Below are 18,981 nucleotides of genomic sequence, written 5' to 3' on the forward strand. Positions count from 1 at the left end.
GAATTGAAGGGGGCAGAGCAATCTCCCATGGGAAGTATAAATAACAGAGTGTGTGTGTGTGTGAGAGAGAGAGACAGAAATTAGAGAGAGAGAAATTAGCCCGTTAGCCTCACTGGAGTTAAGAACCCCAGCAGTTGGCCCACAACTCATAAGTATAAGCAAAAGATAATAACCCAGTAAGGGGAAAACCCACGAAGGGTTTTGCGCTAAGAAAACAGCAAATGCACCTCTCAATGAGTTCTGCTCACTAAGGAGTCAATGCATGACACTCACCCAGCAGGGCAGCCACTATGCCCACCAGCCCCGTGCCAGCACCCAGCTCCACGGCAGAGCGGCCCCTGAGCTCCACAGCTCCCATCTCCAGGTATGTGGAAAGAACGATGGCCTGAATGAAAACACAGTGTGATGACGATTAAGGTCAACATGTGCTTGAGTAGCTGCAGGGTTTCAGGTCAGCTACACCCACCCCTCTCCCACTTCGAGGTTCAATTCCCAGCTTAACAACACACACAGGAACTTAGCTGGTGCAGCAAGGTAACCTCCCCCTTAGAGCAAGCACAGGGTCCCACAGCAGTGCCCAGAGATGATGCCCACACTAAATGGGGTCCTGCTGGATCTGGAAAGCTTAATTTTTTTTTTTTTTTTTTTTTGAGATGGAGTCTCAGTCCATCTGTCACCCAGGCTGGAGTGCAGTGGCACAATCTCAGCTCACTGCAACCTCCACCTCCCAAGCTCAAGCGATTCTCCCACCTCAGCACCCCCAGTAACTGGGACACAGGCGTGCACCACCACACCCAGCTAATTTTTGTAGTTTTTTTGGTAGAGATGGGGTTTTGCCATGTTGGCCAAGCTGGTCTTGAACTCCTGAGCTCCTGCGTCAGCTTCCCAAAGTGCTAGGATTATAGGCGTGAGCTATCACACCCAGCCTGGAAAGCTTAACTTTTTACTGTGTCACAGCACTTTTATGCTTGAAGTTTACACAACTATTCTGCAAGAACTGACATGAACAATTTCTATGATTTTGTTTAAGGGAATGCCCAGTTCCTAAACCAAACTCAGGTCAGCAAAGCCACAACTTCACCCATAGGGAAAAAGCAACACATTGCCCAAGGGTCTCTGAACTGCGTCACTGATGGTCATCGCCCCACAGGGGCCCTCACCATACGTTTTGGGCATCAGAAGGTAAGTTTTGGCCAAAGTTTTGGATACTTGATGTGTGGTTTCAACATTTGTTTATGACCCTACAGAAAGAAGTGTATAAAGCTAACATAACTTGTTACTATAATTTATTTCTCACAGCCGCATACTGTGAGTATAATTGGCAATTCCTCTTCTTGGTGAGCATTTACGAGTCTTCCCATTCCTCGTTATTATTTATCTTTTTTTTTTTTTTGAGATGTAGTCTCACTCTGTCACCCAGGATGTAGTGCAGTGGTGCAATCCCAGCTCCCTGCAACCTCTGCCTCCCAGGTTCAAGCGATTCTCCTGCCTCAGCCTTCCGAGTAGCTAGGACTACAGGTGTGCGCCACCACGGCTAATTTTTGTATTTTCAGTAGAGATGGAGTTTCGCCATGTTGGCTAGGCTGGTTTCGAACTCTTGACTTCAAGTGATCTGCCCACCTCGGCCTCCCAAACTGCTGGGATTACAGGTGTGAGCCACCACACCAGGCCTATATCTTTATTATTACCAGAGTAACTTCCATGTAGTTACCTGGACTGGATTCCTAGAAGTGGTATTACTACATTAGAATATATTGAGATTTTTATTCCTACGTGTTTAACATCCCTAACAATGTTAAAACTGTCAAACTGTATTTATGCCAATCATGCATTCAACATTAATTGAGTTCCCACTGAGTCCTAGGTGTGGGGCTAGATGCTGAGGGCTCAAGTCAGAACAGGGCAGGGAGAGGAAGAAGTTAAAAAGCAGTTACAATTTTTTAACAATTACAACTATGGAAAACTTAAAGAAAACACATAATCTCCATTTTGGGCTCTGCCACTTTACAATACTCTGTGAAATAAAGAGACTAACTCGGCTGGGCGCTGTGGCTCACGCCTGTAATCCCAGCACTTTGGGAGGCTGAGGCAGGTGGATCACTTGAGGTCAGGAGTTCCAGATCAGCCTGGCCAACATGTCGAAACCCCATCTCTACCAAAAAATACAAAAATTAACCAGGTGTGGTGGCGTGCACCTGTAGCCCCAGTTACTCCAGAGGCTGAGGTGGGAGAATCACTTGAACCCAGGAAGCGGAGGCTGCATTGAGCCAGGATCGCACCACTGCACTCCAGCCTGGGCAACAGAACGAGACTATGTCTCAAAAGAAAAAAAGACTAACTCGTGTCCAAAGCAGTTGGGGGCTTTCCTTCCTATCCTCTCCGACAAGTCATTAACTTTCCTCAGCTTTCATTTACACCTTTAAAATGTAATCTATGTGGAGGGACAAGAGGAGTGACTAAGGGATACGGGTTTGAGAGTGGCAGTGATAGTAAAACTTTTAAAATTGAAGCGGTAATAGTTGCACTACTCTGTGAATATACTGTATTTTTAAAACCGCACTGAATTGTGCACTTTAAATAGGTAAAGTGTATGCTATGTGAATTATATCTCAATAAAGCTGTTCTAAAAAAAATAAAAAATAAAAGCCAGTCTTGCAAGTGTGAACGTTTTCAGAGGTCCCCCAGGGCTTACTTACCGCATCCCAAACCACCGCTGCGACTCCCAGGTGTCTCCAGTCCTGCCGGATCTGGATCGTGTGGTTTGCAAAGGAAAAAGTTGCAAGAGGCTTGTGGAATTTCTGCAACCCAAATTCCGTGGTCTCCTCATAGGGCACGAGGGCCATTCCGCCTGCACCCCGCCCTCTGCTCAGACCTGCCGTGCAAAAGAATCCTGGGTGACGCTCTGGCCAAAAGATACATTATCTGTTCTTAACTAACTCCAAATGCTTTTAAGGTCGTTTACAAGTTCAAAAGAAAAAAAGAAACAGGTGGAGGAAGCCTTTGTCCAATTTCTTTTGCATGGCTCTTCCGAATCTGAGTGAGATTTGGCTCGGAATTTGTGTCAACGGATGTGTTTGGGGAAGAAGAAAAAAAAAGCCCAGAACATTCCAACTTCCGCAGAATACCCTATACACTGCACTGCTACCACTCCGTGAATTCAGAACTACACAAGCGGCGGAAGCGGCGGTGATCGCCCAGGGCCCCAGAGCAGCGCGGAAAGCAGCGCTTCCAACCCAGACCCGGGCGCCCGGACTGCAGCTGCAGCCAGCCGGGCGGCCCGGGTTCTTTCGCTACGGTTTCGCTACCCACCTCCCCTCCTCCATCGGCTGCTTCGATAGTGATAACAATGGGACAGAACCTGCCCTTAGACTGGGTGTTAGCGGTTTGATAAACCAGAAATACATGGTCGCCGCAGTTCCGTCTCCCCGACCCTGGAAGTGAGCGACACTGGGGGCCTCCAAGCGGCTCGCGGGGACAGCGGGGACTCGGAGGCCTCCCCGAACTCCCCCTATAGCTGCCCCCCACTCACCCCTCTCCCGGGACGACCAGTGCGCCCTTCCTGCCCGGGGGCCCCGGAGCTGCGGCAACCCTCCAGGGGTGAGAGGGAGACCAGGCGAGGGGGGTCACAGGGCCTCTTAGGATCCCCAGGCCATACGGGGCGCCGTGAGCTGCCCGGCGGAGCACCCAGGGCTCGCCCAGGCCGGGCTGAGGCGCCGCCACGCCGGTACTTACGGCCCGGGAGGCGGTCCCGCGTGGAGCGCGCGCTCCGCTTTCCCCGCCCCGGGCTGGCTGCGAAAACCGCCGGCCTTAAAGAGCCCGCGACGCGGGGGCGGGCGGCCCCGGCCCGGAGCCACGCATTTCCGGTCTCCCGGCACCCAGCCTCCGGCAGGTGCCCCCGGAGCTCACGGCGAGGGCGGGGCCGGGCCGTGGCGCGGTGGAGGAGTGACGTTGCGGGAGGGGGGACCGGGGCTTTCCCTCGTGCGTCCCCAGGGTACACGGACGACTTAATCCGTTTCCCCCGCCGCCGAGGGAGGCGCTGTGGGGGCGGGAGCAAGAGTGAGATCGGGGTGCCGAACTGCCGCGGGTGCACAGGGAGAGCATGGGGTGCCCTGGGCTCTCCTAGCGGGAGAGAAAAGCCACCCACCTGGCGCTGAATGTGCCTCTCGACCTTTTCTATCATGTGCTCCGCCGCTCTCTGCCTCTGACTTTGTCGCTTGCGCGTTGTGCCTGTTTTTTAAAGGTGGCGCGTTAGCGGATGATGGAGACAGCTCGCTCCGAAGAAGGCATGGTCACTCTAGTCCCCGCGTCTCCACGGTGGGGTCAGAAGCGGCGTAATAGCCCGCTTGGCGGCAATCGAGTGGAAAAGTCACAAAACCCTTTTCAACTAAAGCACAGTGGGGGAAGTGAACACGTGGCGCCCGAGTCCAAGTTTTTAAAGTGGGGCGGGGGTCGGCGGGCTCTGGCTGCAGTCGGAAGCGCGGAGCTCTGGGCGTGCGCTCGGCTCCAGCCCCGGCCCCAGGCGGCGCTGCAGACTCCAGTGCCCCAGTCTCCCTCCTCCCGATGCCAAGACGCACCTGCCCGTGAGGACCCACGCTGGACGTGGAAGGTGCCGAGGGCCTGGTACCCTGGCCGCAGGCCCTGGCAGAGCGCGCGGCTGGAGTGGGTCCATTGAGTGGGACCGTGCGGGGACCGGCATCCTCCCGGGGCAGGCTTCTTTTTCCTCCTGGGGCCCCTCGCCCCACACCGCCCGCTGCGCTCTCAGCGCGGCTGCACGTTAGAACCAGCTGGGGTAAACCTCCCTTACCAGTCCCCCGCCCCAAGAGCTGGCCATGGGAGGGGGCCCGAGCGCTGATTTTTTTGTTTGGTTTTTTGCTTTTGTTTTTGTTTTTGTTTTTGTTTTGAGACGGAGTCTCTCTCTGTCGCCCAGGCTGGAGTGCAAGGGCGCGAACTCGGCTCACTGCAGTCTCCGCCTTCCGGGTTCAAGCGATTCTCCTGCCTCATTCTCCCGTGTAGCTAGGATTACAGGCCTGCGCCAGCACGCCAGCTAATTTTTGTGGGATTTTGTTTGTTTGTTTGAGACGGAGTCTTGCTCTGTCGCCAGGCTGGAGTGCAGTGGCGCGATCTCGGCTCACTGCAGCCTCCACCTCCCGGGTTCAAGCAGTTCTCCTGCCTCAGCCTCCAAAGTAGCTGGAATTACAGGCGCCCGCCGCCACACCCGGCTTTTTTTGTGTTTTTAGTAGAGACGGGGCTTCACCATGTTGGCCAGGCTGGCCTTGAACTCCTGATCTCCGGTGATCCGCTCATCTCAGCCTCCCAAAATGCGGGATTACAGGTGTGAACCACTGCCACCTCCCCCACCCCTACCGCCCGAGCGCTGATTTTTTTTTTTTATTATTATTATTCAGAGTTTCGCTCTTGTCACCCAGGGTGGAGTGCAATGGCATGATCTCGGCTCACTGCAACCTCCGCCTCCCAGGTTCAAGGGATTCTCCTGCCTCAGCCTCCAAGTAGCTTAGATTAAGGGGCCCACCACCACGACTGGCTAATTTTTGTATTTTTAGTAGAGACGGGGGTTTCACCACGTTGGCCAGACTGGTCTCGAACTCATGACTAAAGGTGATCCACCCGCCTCGGCCTCGCAAAGTGCTGGGATCACAGGCATGAGCCACCGCGCCCGGCAAGCGCTGATATTTTTAAGAGCTCCCGGGGCCGCCCCCGGGAGCCTGCTTCCCGCGGTGGGAGCCTGGCGGGGGCCTGAACCTCTCTCTCCTGGCCTCTTCCGTCCTGTAGGCGGCGTCCCCGGCCTCCAGATTAATCTTCCATCGGAAGGTGGGGCCTGTGGCTTCGAGGGTAACCTCAGGGAACTTGGAAGACCACCAGTGAGGGACTTTTACCTCCTTTTTCGTTTTCTTTTTTGGTCCTCTCGCTTTCTCTCTTAGTATTTCCTTTCTCTCTTACCTCCTGCACTTGGTGTTTCTGCCTCTCAGCTTTCCCTTTATCGAAGACCTCCCTTTCTTGCCTTTATTTTCTCTCTGTCCCTTTTTGCAGGGAGAACCAGCAATGGGCACAAGAAAGAACATGTATGGGCTTTGGGGCCAGACAAATATGGAAAATTTAAATTATTCCTCTGACTCTTTAAATGGGATGACTTTGGGAAATTACTAAACCTCGCTAGATCCCAGGCTGCTCATCCCTGAAGCCTGGCATGGAGCCTTGGGCCCCTTCTGTTTTTTCTCCCTATTCTCCATCCTTTCTGCTGAAATCAAGCATATGACCTCAAAAAACAAAGCAAAACCTTCCCCACCTCTCCAGCACTCTAACATGGAACATGTGCCTCATTATATTATGAGTTTTCTAGGAAGGTGTCATTTACTTTTTCTCAACCGTCTTGTCCTCCCAATGTTCTAAGCTGTATCAGATGGCTCAGGAAGCACCAAAAGGAATATTGAGGAACATATGCAACTCGTATAGCAGTGTAGCCATTAAGCAGAGCTCTGTTTTTATCAAAATAAGCCAGTGGTCCACTGAATATTTGAAAATACATTTTTAATCCTAAAAACAAGTTGGTGTGTGGCAGACTACATATTGTTTGGAGTAGTCGGCCAAGTGTGGTGGCTCACGCCTGTAATCCTAACACTTTGGGAGGCCAGGGTGGGAGGATCACTTGAGCCCAGGAGTTCAAGATCAGCCTGGCCAACATAGTAAGACCCCATGTCTAAAAAAATTTTTTTAAAGGCCAGGTGCAGTGGCTCACACCTGTAATCCCAGCACTTTGGGAGGCTGAGGCGGGTGGATTACAAGGTCAGAAGATCGAGACCATCCTGGCTAACACGGTGAAACCCCATGTCTACTAAAAATACTAAAAATTAGCCGGGCATGGTGGTGGACACCTGTAGTCCCAGCTACTCAGGAGGCTGAGGCAGAAGAATGGCGTGAACCCAGGAGGCAGAGCTTGCAGTGAGCTGAGATTGCACCACTGCACTCCAGCCTGGGTGACAGAGCGAGACTCTGTCTCAAAAAAAAAAAAATTTAAAAAAAAAAATAGCCGAGCATGGTGGTGCACACCTATAGTCCCAGCTACGTGGGAGGTTGAGGTGGGAGGATCATGTGAGCCCAGAGGTGGAGGCTTCAGTGAGTCCTGAAGTCACACCACTGCACTGTATCCTGGGTGACACAGCAAGACCCTGTCTCAAAAAAAAAAAAAAAGAAATTCTGACAGTCTTTTTTTTTTTTTTTTTTTTTGACACAGAGTCTTCTCACTCTGTCACCCAGGCTGGAGTGCAGTGGTGCAATCATGGCTCACTGCAGCCTGGACCTCTTGGGTTCAGGCATCCTCCCACCTCAGCCTCCTAAGTAGCTGGGACTACAGGTGTGTGCCACCACACCCAGCTAATTTTATTTTTTGTATAGAGAGAGTCTTGACATAGAGTCTTGACATGATGCCCAGGCTGGACTTGAACTCCTAGCCTCAAGTGATCCCCCCACCTCCTTCTTCAGCCTCCCAAAGTGCTGGGATTACAGGCGGGAGCCACTGAGCCTGGCCTCTCCTGACAGTCTTGTTAGGAATATGCAAAAAGATAGATTTACTTCCCGCATTGTTTGTAATTCCGAAGTGCAGTTTAATCGTAGTGTTAACAGTGTATAAAATAGTGCTTTAGCTGGGCGAGGTGGCTCACGCCTGTAATCCTAGCACTTTAGGAGGCCGAGGCGGACGGATCACCTGAGGTCAGGAGTTCGAGACCAGCCTGACCAACATGGAGAAACCCCATCTCTACCAAAAATACAAAATTAGTCTGGCATGATGGCGCATGCCTGTAATCCCAGCTACTCGGGAGGCTGAGGCAGGAGAATCTCTTGAACCCAGTAGGCAGAGGTTGCAGTGAGCCAAGATCACGCCATTGCACTCCAGCCTGGGCAACGAGTGAAACTCTGTCTCAAAAAAAAAAAAAATAGTGCTTTTTACTTTTATCTGAATGATTGAAATGTCCTTTTCCCAATCCTATGATGCCTGACTGCAAAATAATGGTAGAAGGACACTTAGGCCTTTGTCCCTCCTGTCTCCTGGAACTAGTCCATGTCCAAGGTCATAGTAGAAGCAGTCACCTTGCTACTACCTTGGCACAGCTTGATCCCTATGTTCCCCCAGGCATGTTCCCTTTTTAGGCCAGGGTGGATACCCAACCCCACGCTGGGTACATAATTCTCTCTGCAGAAAGAATGCAGAGTGACTATCAGACATCTGTTGTTACTGCCTGCCCAACATCTATTTCTCATTTTCCTGGTAGCAGCAGTTCTCTTCTGCTGATGGTCAGGAGCCCAGCTTCTGGAGTGCAAGTTCTGCACCAACTCAGCTCTGCAATTTATTAGCTGTGAGGGCTTGGGTGAAATGCATTAACCTGTGTCTCAATGTCCTCATCTATAAAATAGGGATAATGTGATTATTGTATGAGTAAACAACAAAGATAACCTGAGATTAAAATGAGTTAACTTATCTACTTAGAATTGCGCCCAACAAACACATTTTATAGAGCATTTGCTTATACTGTTATGTGTTTGGACTGGTCTATCCTCAGCCCTTACTACATGATCAGGCACATGCCCCAGGCCTGGCCAATATGAACACAGTCCTTCCACCTGGCCACAGGTAGGTGAGATGTGAACATGTAACCAAAGCTGGGCCTAACCAGAACCCATTCTGAGACTTGAGACTCTCAGAGAACCAGCCTGTTGGGGAAGGATAGAAATTTAGAGGTCCTATTGGCCATCTGGTCCCAAGAGAACAAAACTAGCAGCAAATGTGGCCAGTGAAGGCGCTGGTGGAGAGAGAGGCTGCCTCCTGTTGATGTTTGACCACCTGGATCCAGCTGTCCTGGAATTTTCAGTTATTTGAGCCATTAAATTCCCTAATTAGCTTAAGCTGTCATTTGAGCAGCTTTTTTTTTTTTTTTCCATATCCTGAAGAAGAAAAACAATCCTAATACATTCAGTCTGGGCCGGTCCCTTGAGCAAAGGAGAGATATAAAGCCATGCCTGTATGGGGCCATCTTCACTGTGCGGTATAGATGGAGAAACCATTCTACAGAGAGCAGTCACCAGCAGAAACTTGGGGCTGAGCTGCCAGCTGCCGTTTTCCTGATGCCTCTCTTGTCCTGAGCCCTTCCTGGCTGCACCTGGGTTCTCAGGTCCCATGGGAACCCAGGGTAACCAGACAAGACATTTTCCTTTCTTGATTAAGCTCGCTGGAGTGCCTGTGACATACATACAGCCAGAGTCCCAGTGAAAAGGATGTTTTTTGTTTTTAGGAAGTGATGTAGACAGAATATAAACATTCTGTAAGTTCCTCAGACCTATTCAATGTTATAATATAGGTAGTATTAAAAGTGTTCTTCAAAAAATTTAAAGAAATTGAGGCCAGGCGCGGTGGCTCACGCCTGTAATCCCAGCACTTTGGGAGGCTGAGGCGGGCGGATCACGAGGTCAGGAGATCGAGACCATCCTGGCTAAAACGGTGAAACCCCATCTCTACTAAAAATACAAAAAATTAGCCGGGCATGGTGGCGGGCGCCTGTGGTTCCAGCTAGTCGGGAGTATGGGGCAGGAGAATGGCATGAACCCGGGAGGCAGAGCTTGCAGTGAGCCGAGATCGCGCCACTGCACACCAGCCTGGGCGACAGAGTGAGACTCCGTCTCAAAAAAAAAAAAAAAAAGGGAAAAAGAAATTGAAGACCAGGCACTATGACTCACGTCTGTAATCCCAGCACTTTGGGAGGCTGAGGCAGGTGGATCACCTGAGGTCAGGAGTTCGAGACCAGCCTGGCCAACATGGTGAAACCCCATCTCTACTGAAAATGCAAAGAATAACCGGTCGTGGTGGTGCACCACTGTAATCCCAGCTACTCAGGATGCTGAGGTAGAAGAATTGCTTCAACCCGGGAGGCGGAGAATGCAGTGAGCCGAGATTGCACCCTCGCACGCCATCTTGGGCAGCAGAGCAAGACCTCATCTCAAAAAAAAAAAAAAAAAAGAAATTGAGACAGAATTTTTAAAGATTTTTTTTTCTTTTTAGAGATGGTGTCTCACTGTGTTGCCCAGGCTGGTCTTGAATTCCTACACTCAAGTGATCCACCCACCTCAGCCTCCCAAAGCACAAGCACGAGCCACCGTGCCTAGCCTAAAATATTTTTTTTTTTTAACTGAGATCCTTAATTGCTGTACACTAGAGATTAAACTGATAGCAGAAAACACATTTCCTTGCACTGTCTAACCCAGCAGCAGTTCTCACATTTTTTGGTCTCAGGATCTATTACACTCCTTAAAATTATTAAGGACTCCCAAGAACCATTCATATTTATTGTGTTAGAAATGTTAAGTTTTAAGAAGTTAAAACTTAAAATAATAAACTATTTGTTATTTTATGTAAAGGTAGCAGCCATACCTCCATTATGGATTAACATCACAGCAGTGACATCCTCACATATCAGGGAACCCCTGGAAAACTTCACAGTATACTCATGGGAGAATGAGAACGAAAAGGGCAAATAACATCTTAGTATTATTACGAAAATAGTTGCAATCTCATAGATGCTGTAGAGAGGTGTTAGAGTTTCCCAGAAACTGCAGACCATATTTTGAGAACCACTAGTCTACACTGCTTCTTAGCCTTCTTGGCAAAACTATCTTTTGTCTGAGTTACTGTTGTTCAAGGACTAAATAATAAGAATACTTATAACACTGACTTCCTATCACTGACTGTAAATATACAACTGATACATTATCAGTTTTCTTGTTATCTTTAACGTGAAAGCAGTATAGAGAGAGTGTGTTCAAAGTGGGCTTTGGAGGCTGGTGTCCTGGATTCTAACCTCAGTGCTTAGCTGGGTGACCGTGGGTGAGTCACCTAGCCTTTCTGAGCCTCAATGTCCTATCTGTAAAATGATCATTATATTACTATTTATCTTTGCTGTGAAAATTAAGTGAATTCATCTGTTCTTCAAAAGTGGAGAAAGAAAATAAAGTAAAATTTTTATTAGAAAAAAAAAACAAAAACTGGCTGGACGCGGTGGCTCACGCCTTTAATCCCAGCAATTTGGAAGGTCAAGGTAGCCGGATCACTTGAGCCTAGGAATTCGAGGCTGCAGTGAGCTATGATCGCACCACTGCACTCTAGCCTGGGTGACAGAGTGAGGCCCTATCTCAAAAAAAAAAAAAATCAATGTAGAAGAAAACTAGTTTTTCACCCCTCCTTCGAAATAACTTGAGGCCATTTGCTCATATGCCTGGGTCCTGGCCAGTATGATGTGGGCCGTAATGTCCCTGCCTAAAAGCCCTTTCTTCCCCATCTGCACACCCTCAGAGGTGGGCAAACTGGAGAAGCTGGATCCCTGAGTCATTGCTTAGAGGAGAGTTGCTCAACTCACAGTGGATTGTGACATGAGCAAGAAATCAATCTTTGTCATGTTAACCACTGACATTTGGAATTTATTCACTATTGTAGCATATAGCCTATCTCCATTAATACACAAGGGCAGGCCATTTGAGCTGGGGAAAGGAGAGGGCTCTGAAGAGGTGACATTTAAATGGAAATTTAAAAGAGTAGAAGAAAACAGCCACTTGAAGAGCCAAGGGAATGGCATTTCAAGCAAGGGAACAGAAACTGCAAAAGCCCCCAGGCAGAAGAAACTGTCAACTGACCAGCCAGGAGCAAGGGGTAAGTGGCACAAGATAACTCTTAAGATTAAGTCAAACAGAAGAATGAAAGCTTTGAACTACCCAAACTCCACTAACAACTTACACCCTGCAGGAGAGGTATTTTTGCATCATCACTACACAACTCTCTGTGTGAGTCACAGACCCTGGGTGCCCTCAAGGGTGAGGCTGGCTGCCCTGAAGACACTACCATACAGCTAAGGAGTTGGCTTAAGGATATTCAAAAAGCCTTAAGGAATAAAGCTCCAGCTGGTGCTAAAGAAAGACAACCATAGACAGAGTCTTGGTATAACTGTGTTCACCACTGTCTTTTTTAAGTTCTTGTCTAGCTTCTCAGTATTTCCGTAAGACCTGACTGCAGAGAGAAAAAACAAGACAACTGCTCAGCGCTACCTTGAGGGAATATGCAGCATAAATAGCTACATTTGGATTTTTCATTTTGCTGATGAAATCGCATTTTTGATCACAGCTCCTGGACAACTGCAGCCATGCCTGATGCTCTTGTTCTACAACAAAATAGAAGCAGCAGCTAGGGGAGAAGTTTCCAGACTTGTGTTCTGTTGGGTTTTAGAGTCACATCTGTGGCTTTCAGCTGGAAACGGCTGGACAACTATTTGTTGAATGAATGAATGAATGAATGAATGAATGAATGTTACAATACATCACATCAAATTATTGCCCACCTCACTCCAAAAGTGTTTAAATGCGAATTCAACTTATTAGATACCTTTGAGTTAATGATGCTGAAGAATTTGTAGTTACTTTCATTATTTGTGTTTCATTAACCTAGGGTTCAATAATATTCCCAGGTATAGTACATGTTTGGGTAAGAAGCTATTGACTGTCTTATCTTTTGATGATTCCAAGAAAAGGTATGAAGCCATTTGCCTTTTCATAATTTATAGGTTAATTTGTGTGTAATTAGAAAAGCAGGTACATTTTAAGTAAGTCAAACCAAAAGACAACATCAAGAAGAGAATAGTAAATAGTCAAGTGAAAGTGCTAGCTTGTAATTCCAAGAGCTCATGTATTTGAGCAGTGCCTCTTCCCAGGTGACACAGGGCATTTTGAGTTCAGGTTTTCCTGGTGGTATGTACAGGAGTGGGAGCGGAGTTACATGCTAATGTGACCAGAGAGGATGCAGTGCTGAGGATCCAGGGCAGGATGGAGGCAGTGTCCCCGACTGGCAGCCTCCAAAAAGCCTTGACCTACAGATGTGTTTTGTGTGTCCCATGCAGACTTGGCTCTCATGGTGTTTTGTTTTTTAGTTTAGTGTCAATATTTGAAAGTAAGGAGATGTATCTTAGTCCATTTTGTGCTGCTATAGAAGAATTACCGGCTGGGCGAGGTGGCTCACGCCTGTAATCCCAACACTTTGGGAGGCCAAGGCGGGCAGATCACGAGGTCAAGAGTTTGAGACCAGCCTGACCAACATAGTGAAACCCTGTCTCTACTAAAAATACAAAAATTAGCTGGGCATAGTGGCGTGCACCTGTAATCCCAGCTACTTCGGAGGCTGGGGCAGGAGAATCACTTGAACTCAGGAGGTGGAGGTTGCAGTGAGCCAAGATCGCACCACTGTATTCCAGCCTGGGTGACAGGGCGAGACTCCATCTCAAAAAAAAAAAAAGAATTATCTAAGACTGAGTAATTTATAATGAGCAGAAATTTATTGACTTCTGGTTCTGGAGGCTAGAACGTCCAAGATCAAGGGGCTGGCATCTGGGGAGAACCTTCTTGCTGTGCTATCCCATGAAGGAAACACAAAGAAGGAGTGAGAGAGAGCAAGAGTTCAAACTTGCACCCTCAAGCCCTTTTATAATCATTATTAATCCATTCATGAGGGTGGAGCCTTATGACCTAAATACCTCCATTAGGCCCCACCTCCCAACACTGATTAAGTTTCCAATGCATGCCTTTTGGGGGAACACATTCAAACCATAGCAAGATGTCAGATAAAAATCAAGATAGTAAAATTAAGATAATTATTTGAAATGGCTTTCTTTGAAAATTTTGAAATATCTGGCAAACATGGGTCCAAATGCCCACAAGATGGCAATGAGCTAGAGCCAAGCTGGCTCTTCCTTTGGACATTATGGTCTCCCCTCAGTGTGCCGCGGTCCCCTCCCCTGCTTGTTGTCTTGTCCCCACAAGCTTCATTCATTTACTTACGATACTGTCAGGGTCTGTGACGGAGCACCAGTAAACAGCCTCTCACTTTATTTTCTCTGGGTTCTAAACAAGCTGAGAAATAAAACAACGACTAAAGCTGAAGGCAAAAACATCCCCTCTATTTACTGAGACAGAAGAAGTTGGAGGGCGAGGCTTATATCTGCAGGCAGATGGACCTACGAAGAACGAAGAACGCTAAGGTGACTCATCCAGCACTGGATGGGGCAGGCCTCGCATGTAATTCCTATAGCATGAAGGAGCAGAGGAGAGTGCAGGTTCTGCCCACAGGCCTGCTCCTAGAGGCAGAAAGATCTGGACTGAGCCGCACATAGGGAATTTATTGCCAATGCATGCTCCAGGGCAGAGAGGCCTGGAGTGGCATTCACAGAGCTCCCGTTGAGGAGAAGTAGCACTCCTCAACTCACCGGGGCCTCACAGGTCTGGAGTTGATGAAGGCTACGGAAGATTTCTTTAACATCCCAAGCAAAGAATACCTGATGTCCTCTCCATGGTCATGCTGATTTTTTTTTTTCAAGGGGTTTTTAGCTCAAGTAAATATGGTAACATTCAGCTACCATGGAAACACAAAAGTTTCTAGGAAGAAAAAAGCAGAACTCACCATCTACTGGGGCAAATCAACTAGAATAAAAAGCAAAGGCAAGAGAATAAAAAAAAAACGAATCAAAAGGGAGTCCAAGATGTGCTGTTAAGATAGATGCTAAATTGAGGAAAACAAGAAAGGGCCCAGGCACAGACAGGTGGCCAAGTGGGGTCCAGGGGCCAGTGAGTGAGGTATAACCACCATATTCACTGAGCACTAGCTGGTGCCATGCACATTTGTGACGATGCAAAGTAGGTCATGTGAACCCCACTTTAGAGATGAGGAAATTGAAGCAGAGAGTGATTCCAAAAGGCCAGTGGAGAGATTCCACAGGCAGCGCCACTGACTCCGAAAGGAACCTTTCCCCTCTCCTTGCCTGCTGTTTCAGCCAAATGAATGGGGCTTCATAGACAGCAGGAGCAGCCTGAGGCCTCTGGGATGGCTGGAATTGGCTCCTTTAAAGAAGGGCAGGGCAGGTGCAGTGGCTCACACCTGTAATCCCAGCACTTTGGTAGGCAGAGCGGGGAGGATTCTTTGAGCTCAGGAGTTTGAGACCAGCCTGGGCAACACAGAGAGACACTGTCTCTACAAAATATAAACAAAATTAGCCAAGCATTGTGGCACACGCCTGTAGTCCCAGCTACTCAGGAGGCTGAGGTGGGAGGATCCCTTGAGCCTAGGAGGTCGAGGCTGCAGTGAGCTATGATCATGCCACTGCACTCCAGCCTGGGCAACAGAGCAGGACCTTGTTTCAAAAAAATAAACAAAATAAAATAAAAAGAAGGGCAGGTCTGGAGCCAAGGCCCTCAGCTGGGGCTGGAAACTCAAGGCTCACCCTACCCAGAGAGTCCAAGCATTGGCGCATCTTCCTGCTAACAAGCACTCATTTTCGTCTTCCTGTTCATCCTCTTCCCTGTGGTGCTGTGACCTGACCAACCCCTCCTCTGGCTGTCCAGTCCCCACTCCACACCACAGAGCAACACCTAGCCAAAGAAGGTAGGTAAGAAAAGCTAAACACCCAGGGATATGAAACCAGCCTTCACAGACACTGTTTTTGACCCTCTCCAGTCATCAGCAACAAGGTTTCCAGAAAAGCTGGGGAGCTGTGTGGCAGGAGAACCTTCTTCCAGGGACTTCCTTGACTCCTGATTCAGTAGTCACGATGCCACCAGCAGACAAACCTAACACATACCTGTATAGAGTCACGTTCACTCAGCAGTTCTCTAAGAGAACAACTGTGTAAATTTCCTTAATAGGAAATGTTTTTAGAAGGAACATATGGAGAGTCAAAAAGTGGCTAAATATAAATCTATATTTACAGAACTGAATCAGGAGCAAAGAAAATTTGAACAGAAAGAGCTGGATGGATAAGCTTTCTCTCAAGACAGGTTTTTCTGTGTGTATGTTCAGTGTATGTGAATTTTTACCTACAGTTAAAAAAAGAAAAGAAAAAATCATGATACCAAAAATGGTTTTGATGCCAGTCACATTACAGAAGTACCCAAGGCTCTATCCCTCTATCCACTAACTTTCTTTGTTTTTTTTTGTTGTTGTTTTTTTTTTTGTGTGTGTGTGTGACAAAGTTTCGCCCTGTCGCCCAGGCTGGAGTGCAGTGGCACTATCTCGGCTCACTGCAACTTCCCCCTCCTGGGTTCAAGCCATTCTCCTGCCTCAGCCTTCCAAGTAGCTGTGACTTACAAGCGCCTGCCACCATGCCCAGCTAATTTTTTGTATTTTAGTAGAGATGGGATTTCACCCTGTTGCCCAGGCTGGTCTCGAACTCCTGAGCTCAGGCAATCCGCCTGCCTCGGCCTCCCAAAGTGCTGGGATTACAGGCGTGAGCCACCATGCCCGGCCTCTATCCACTAACTTCCATCAGCAGTAAACCCATTTGGTTGCACGATAGACGTGGAGATGATCAAATAGAGCATAGATTTTTCTTTTTTTTTGAGACGGAGTCTCGGTCTGTCGCCCGGGCTGGAGTGCAGTGGCGTGGTCTCGGCTCACTGCAACCTCTGCCTCCCGGGTTCACGCCATTCTCCTGCCTCAGACTCCGGAGTAGCTGGGACTACAGGCGCCCGCCACCACGCCCGGCTACTTTTTTGTATTTTTAGTAGAGACGCGGTTTCACCATATTAGCCAGGATGGTCTCGATCTCCCGACCTTGTGATCCGCCCACCTCAGCCTCCCAAAGTGCTGGGATTACAGGCATGAGCCACCACGCCTAGCCAAGCACAGATTTTTCTAATAGAAGTTTCAAGCTTAAGAATTTTTTTTAGCTAGTTAAAGTAACCCTAGGAGAAATGTTTTACATTATCGATGCTGAAAGAAAAGAGGCAAACTTTGGGCCAGGCTTGGCGGCTCACACCTGTAATCCCAGCACTTTGGGAGGCTGAGGCGGGTGGATCACTTTAGGTCAGGAGTTCAAGACCAGCCTGGCCAACATGGTGAAACTCCATCTCTACCAAAAACACACAAAAAATTAGCTGGACATGGTGCCAGGCGCCAGTAGTCCCAGCTACTCTGGAGGCTTACGCACGAAAACCACTTGAACCTGGGAGGCAGAGGTTGCAGTGTGCAGAGATCACGCCACTGCACTCCAGCCTGGGCAACAGAGCGAGACTCCATCTCAAAAAAAAAAAAAAAAAAAAAGAGTGGCAAAGTTAGCAGGAATTAAGGAAATTCCCATGGCTTAAAAAAGAAAAAAAAAGTGAGAAAGGAATGAACATTTATTGAGCAACTACCACATGCAAGATGGTTGGTGGGCATTCTCTCCATTGAGTTTCATAATATAACTTGTATTAGTCTATTCCTGCATTGCTACAAGGAAATACCTGAGACTGGATAATTTTTTTTTTTTTTTTTGAGACTGAGTCTCACTCTGTTGCCCAGGCTGGAGTGCAGGGGCACGATCTCGGCTCACTGCAACCTCCTCCTCCCAGGTTCAAGCAATTCTTCTGCCTCAGCCTCCTGAGTAGCTGGGATTACAGGCGCATGCCACCACGCCCAGCTAATTTTTGTATTTTTAATAGAGATGGGGTTTCACCATGTTGGCCAGGATGGTCTCGATCTCCTGACCTCGTGATCCGCCCGCCTCAGCCTCCCAAAGTGCTGGGATTACAGGCGTGAGCCACTGCACCTGGCCTCTTTCTTTTTTTTTGTAAGACATGGGGTCTTGCTATGTGATTCAAGCTGGTCTCAAACTCCTTGCCTCGAGCAGTTTCCCACCATGGTCTCCCAGAGTGCTGGGATTACAGGGATGAGGCACTGCACCCAGCTGATTTTCCTTCTTTCTTCAGGGAAAACTACTTCCATGAAAACATTTGATAGTAAATTTTTCTGTGAAGAAATTCTGGGCCAAGTGCAGTGGCCCATGCCTGTAATCCCAAAACTTTGGGAGGGCGAAAAATTCCCTCATAACTTTTATTTGTATGTTGTTACTTTTACTATGATTATTTTATTTATTTATTTATTTATTTATTTATTTATTTATTTTGAGCCTGGCTCTCACTCTCTCGCCCAGGCTGGAGTGCAGTGGCACCATCTCGGCTCACAGCAACTTCCACCTCCCAAGTTCAAGTGATTCTCCTGCCTCAGCCTCCCAAATAGCTGGGATTACAGGTACCTGCCACCATGCCTGGCTAATTTTTGTATTTTTAGTAGAGAGAGGGCTTCACCATGTTGGCCAGGCTGGTCTCGAACTCCTGACCTCAAGTAATCCACCCACCTCAGCCTCCCAAAGTGCAGAGATTATAGGCGTGAGCCACCGCACCTGGCCATATTACTATTATTATTTTAGAGCTTTATTGGCCACATCAATTTCCAAGTCGTGAAGAGGAAGTCCCCAGTGTCAAATAAAGGTGCTCCCTCTTGAAAGGACAGGTTAGGTTTTATGACTCACAGGGCCAGTATCATACATATTGACCAAGTTTGAGTGAAAAGCTATACATATTTATGAGAGGAGCCTGGCACACATGCAGTGGGTAATTTTTGTATTTTTAGTAGAAACGAGGTTTCACCATTTAGCCAGGCTGGTCTTGAACTCCTGACCTCAGGTGATCCTCCTGCCTCGACGTCCCAAAGTGCTGGGATTACAGGTGTGAGCCAGGATTACAGGTGTGAGCCACCACGCCCGGCCCATAAGGGTGGATTTCTAATGAATAGCTAAGCACTATCCCTTTGGTGCTGTCCTTTCAATAGTGAGTTATTGCAAGAACTGGTTGTTTTAAAGTGTGGCAACTGCCTGCCCCCCTCTCTTGTTCCTGCTTTTGCAATGTGAAATGCCTGTTCCCACTTCACCTTCTGCTATGAATAAAAGCTCCCTGAGGCCTCTTCAGAAGCCAAGCAATGTCTGTGCCATGCTTATACAGCCTGCAGAACCATGAGCCAGTTAAACCTGTTTTCTCTGTAAATTACCCAGTCTCAGGTATTTCTTGTTAGCAATGCAAGAATGGTCTAATACATATAGAGACCTTACATGTTTACACAGTATATTAGTCCAG

At 48.1% G+C, this 18,981-nt stretch overlaps 1 protein-coding gene across 38 annotated transcripts in view, besides 3 other annotated features; it reads right to left on the reverse strand.

The window, feature by feature from the left end:
• METTL21A (methyltransferase 21A, HSPA lysine) overlaps nt 1-4,521 on the reverse strand; it is a 45,419-nt gene extending 40,898 nt beyond the window's left edge. For 9 of the 38 annotated variants that reach the window (NM_001393567.1, NM_001393566.1, NM_001330135.2 and 6 more), the window contains exons 1-3: nt 3,733-3,862; nt 2,697-2,872; nt 274-385 (exon numbers count right to left, since the gene is read on the reverse strand). In NM_001393567.1, the coding sequence (NP_001380496.1) occupies nt 274-385; nt 2,697-2,843 (259 nt within the window). In that variant the 5' untranslated portion in view covers nt 2,844-2,872; nt 3,733-3,862. Of the gene's footprint in view, nt 1-273; nt 386-2,696; nt 3,087-3,309; nt 3,457-3,529; nt 3,863-4,144 lie in introns of those variants that run through there. The other 29 variants (NM_001308021.3, NM_001388427.1, NM_001330131.2 and 26 more) reach the window with 7 other exon arrangements.
• Nucleotides 3,458-4,057: a silencer, noted in NCBI's record as "silent region_12281". NCBI's record gives its function as "represses an Ori minimal core promoter by ATAC-STARR-seq in GM12878 lymphoblastoid cells {active_cell/tissue: GM12878}" and the evidence as "EXISTENCE:reporter gene assay evidence [ECO:0000049][PMID:35858748]".
• Nucleotides 4,328-5,032: an enhancer, noted in NCBI's record as "H3K27ac-H3K4me1 hESC enhancer chr2:208490584-208491288 (GRCh37/hg19 assembly coordinates)". NCBI's record gives its function as "activates a minimal SCP1, AML or CMV promoter by ChIP-STARR-seq in primed H9 embryonic stem cells {active_cell/tissue: H9 hESC(primed)}" and the evidence as "EXISTENCE:reporter gene assay evidence [ECO:0000049][PMID:30033119]".
• Nucleotides 5,033-5,735: an enhancer, noted in NCBI's record as "H3K27ac-H3K4me1 hESC enhancer chr2:208491289-208491991 (GRCh37/hg19 assembly coordinates)". NCBI's record gives its function as "activates a minimal SCP1, AML or CMV promoter by ChIP-STARR-seq in primed H9 embryonic stem cells {active_cell/tissue: H9 hESC(primed)}" and the evidence as "EXISTENCE:reporter gene assay evidence [ECO:0000049][PMID:30033119]".

Source organism: Homo sapiens, chromosome 2 (genome assembly GCF_000001405.40).
Source record: "Homo sapiens chromosome 2, GRCh38.p14 Primary Assembly".
Taxonomy (NCBI): domain Eukaryota; kingdom Metazoa; phylum Chordata; class Mammalia; order Primates; family Hominidae; genus Homo; species Homo sapiens.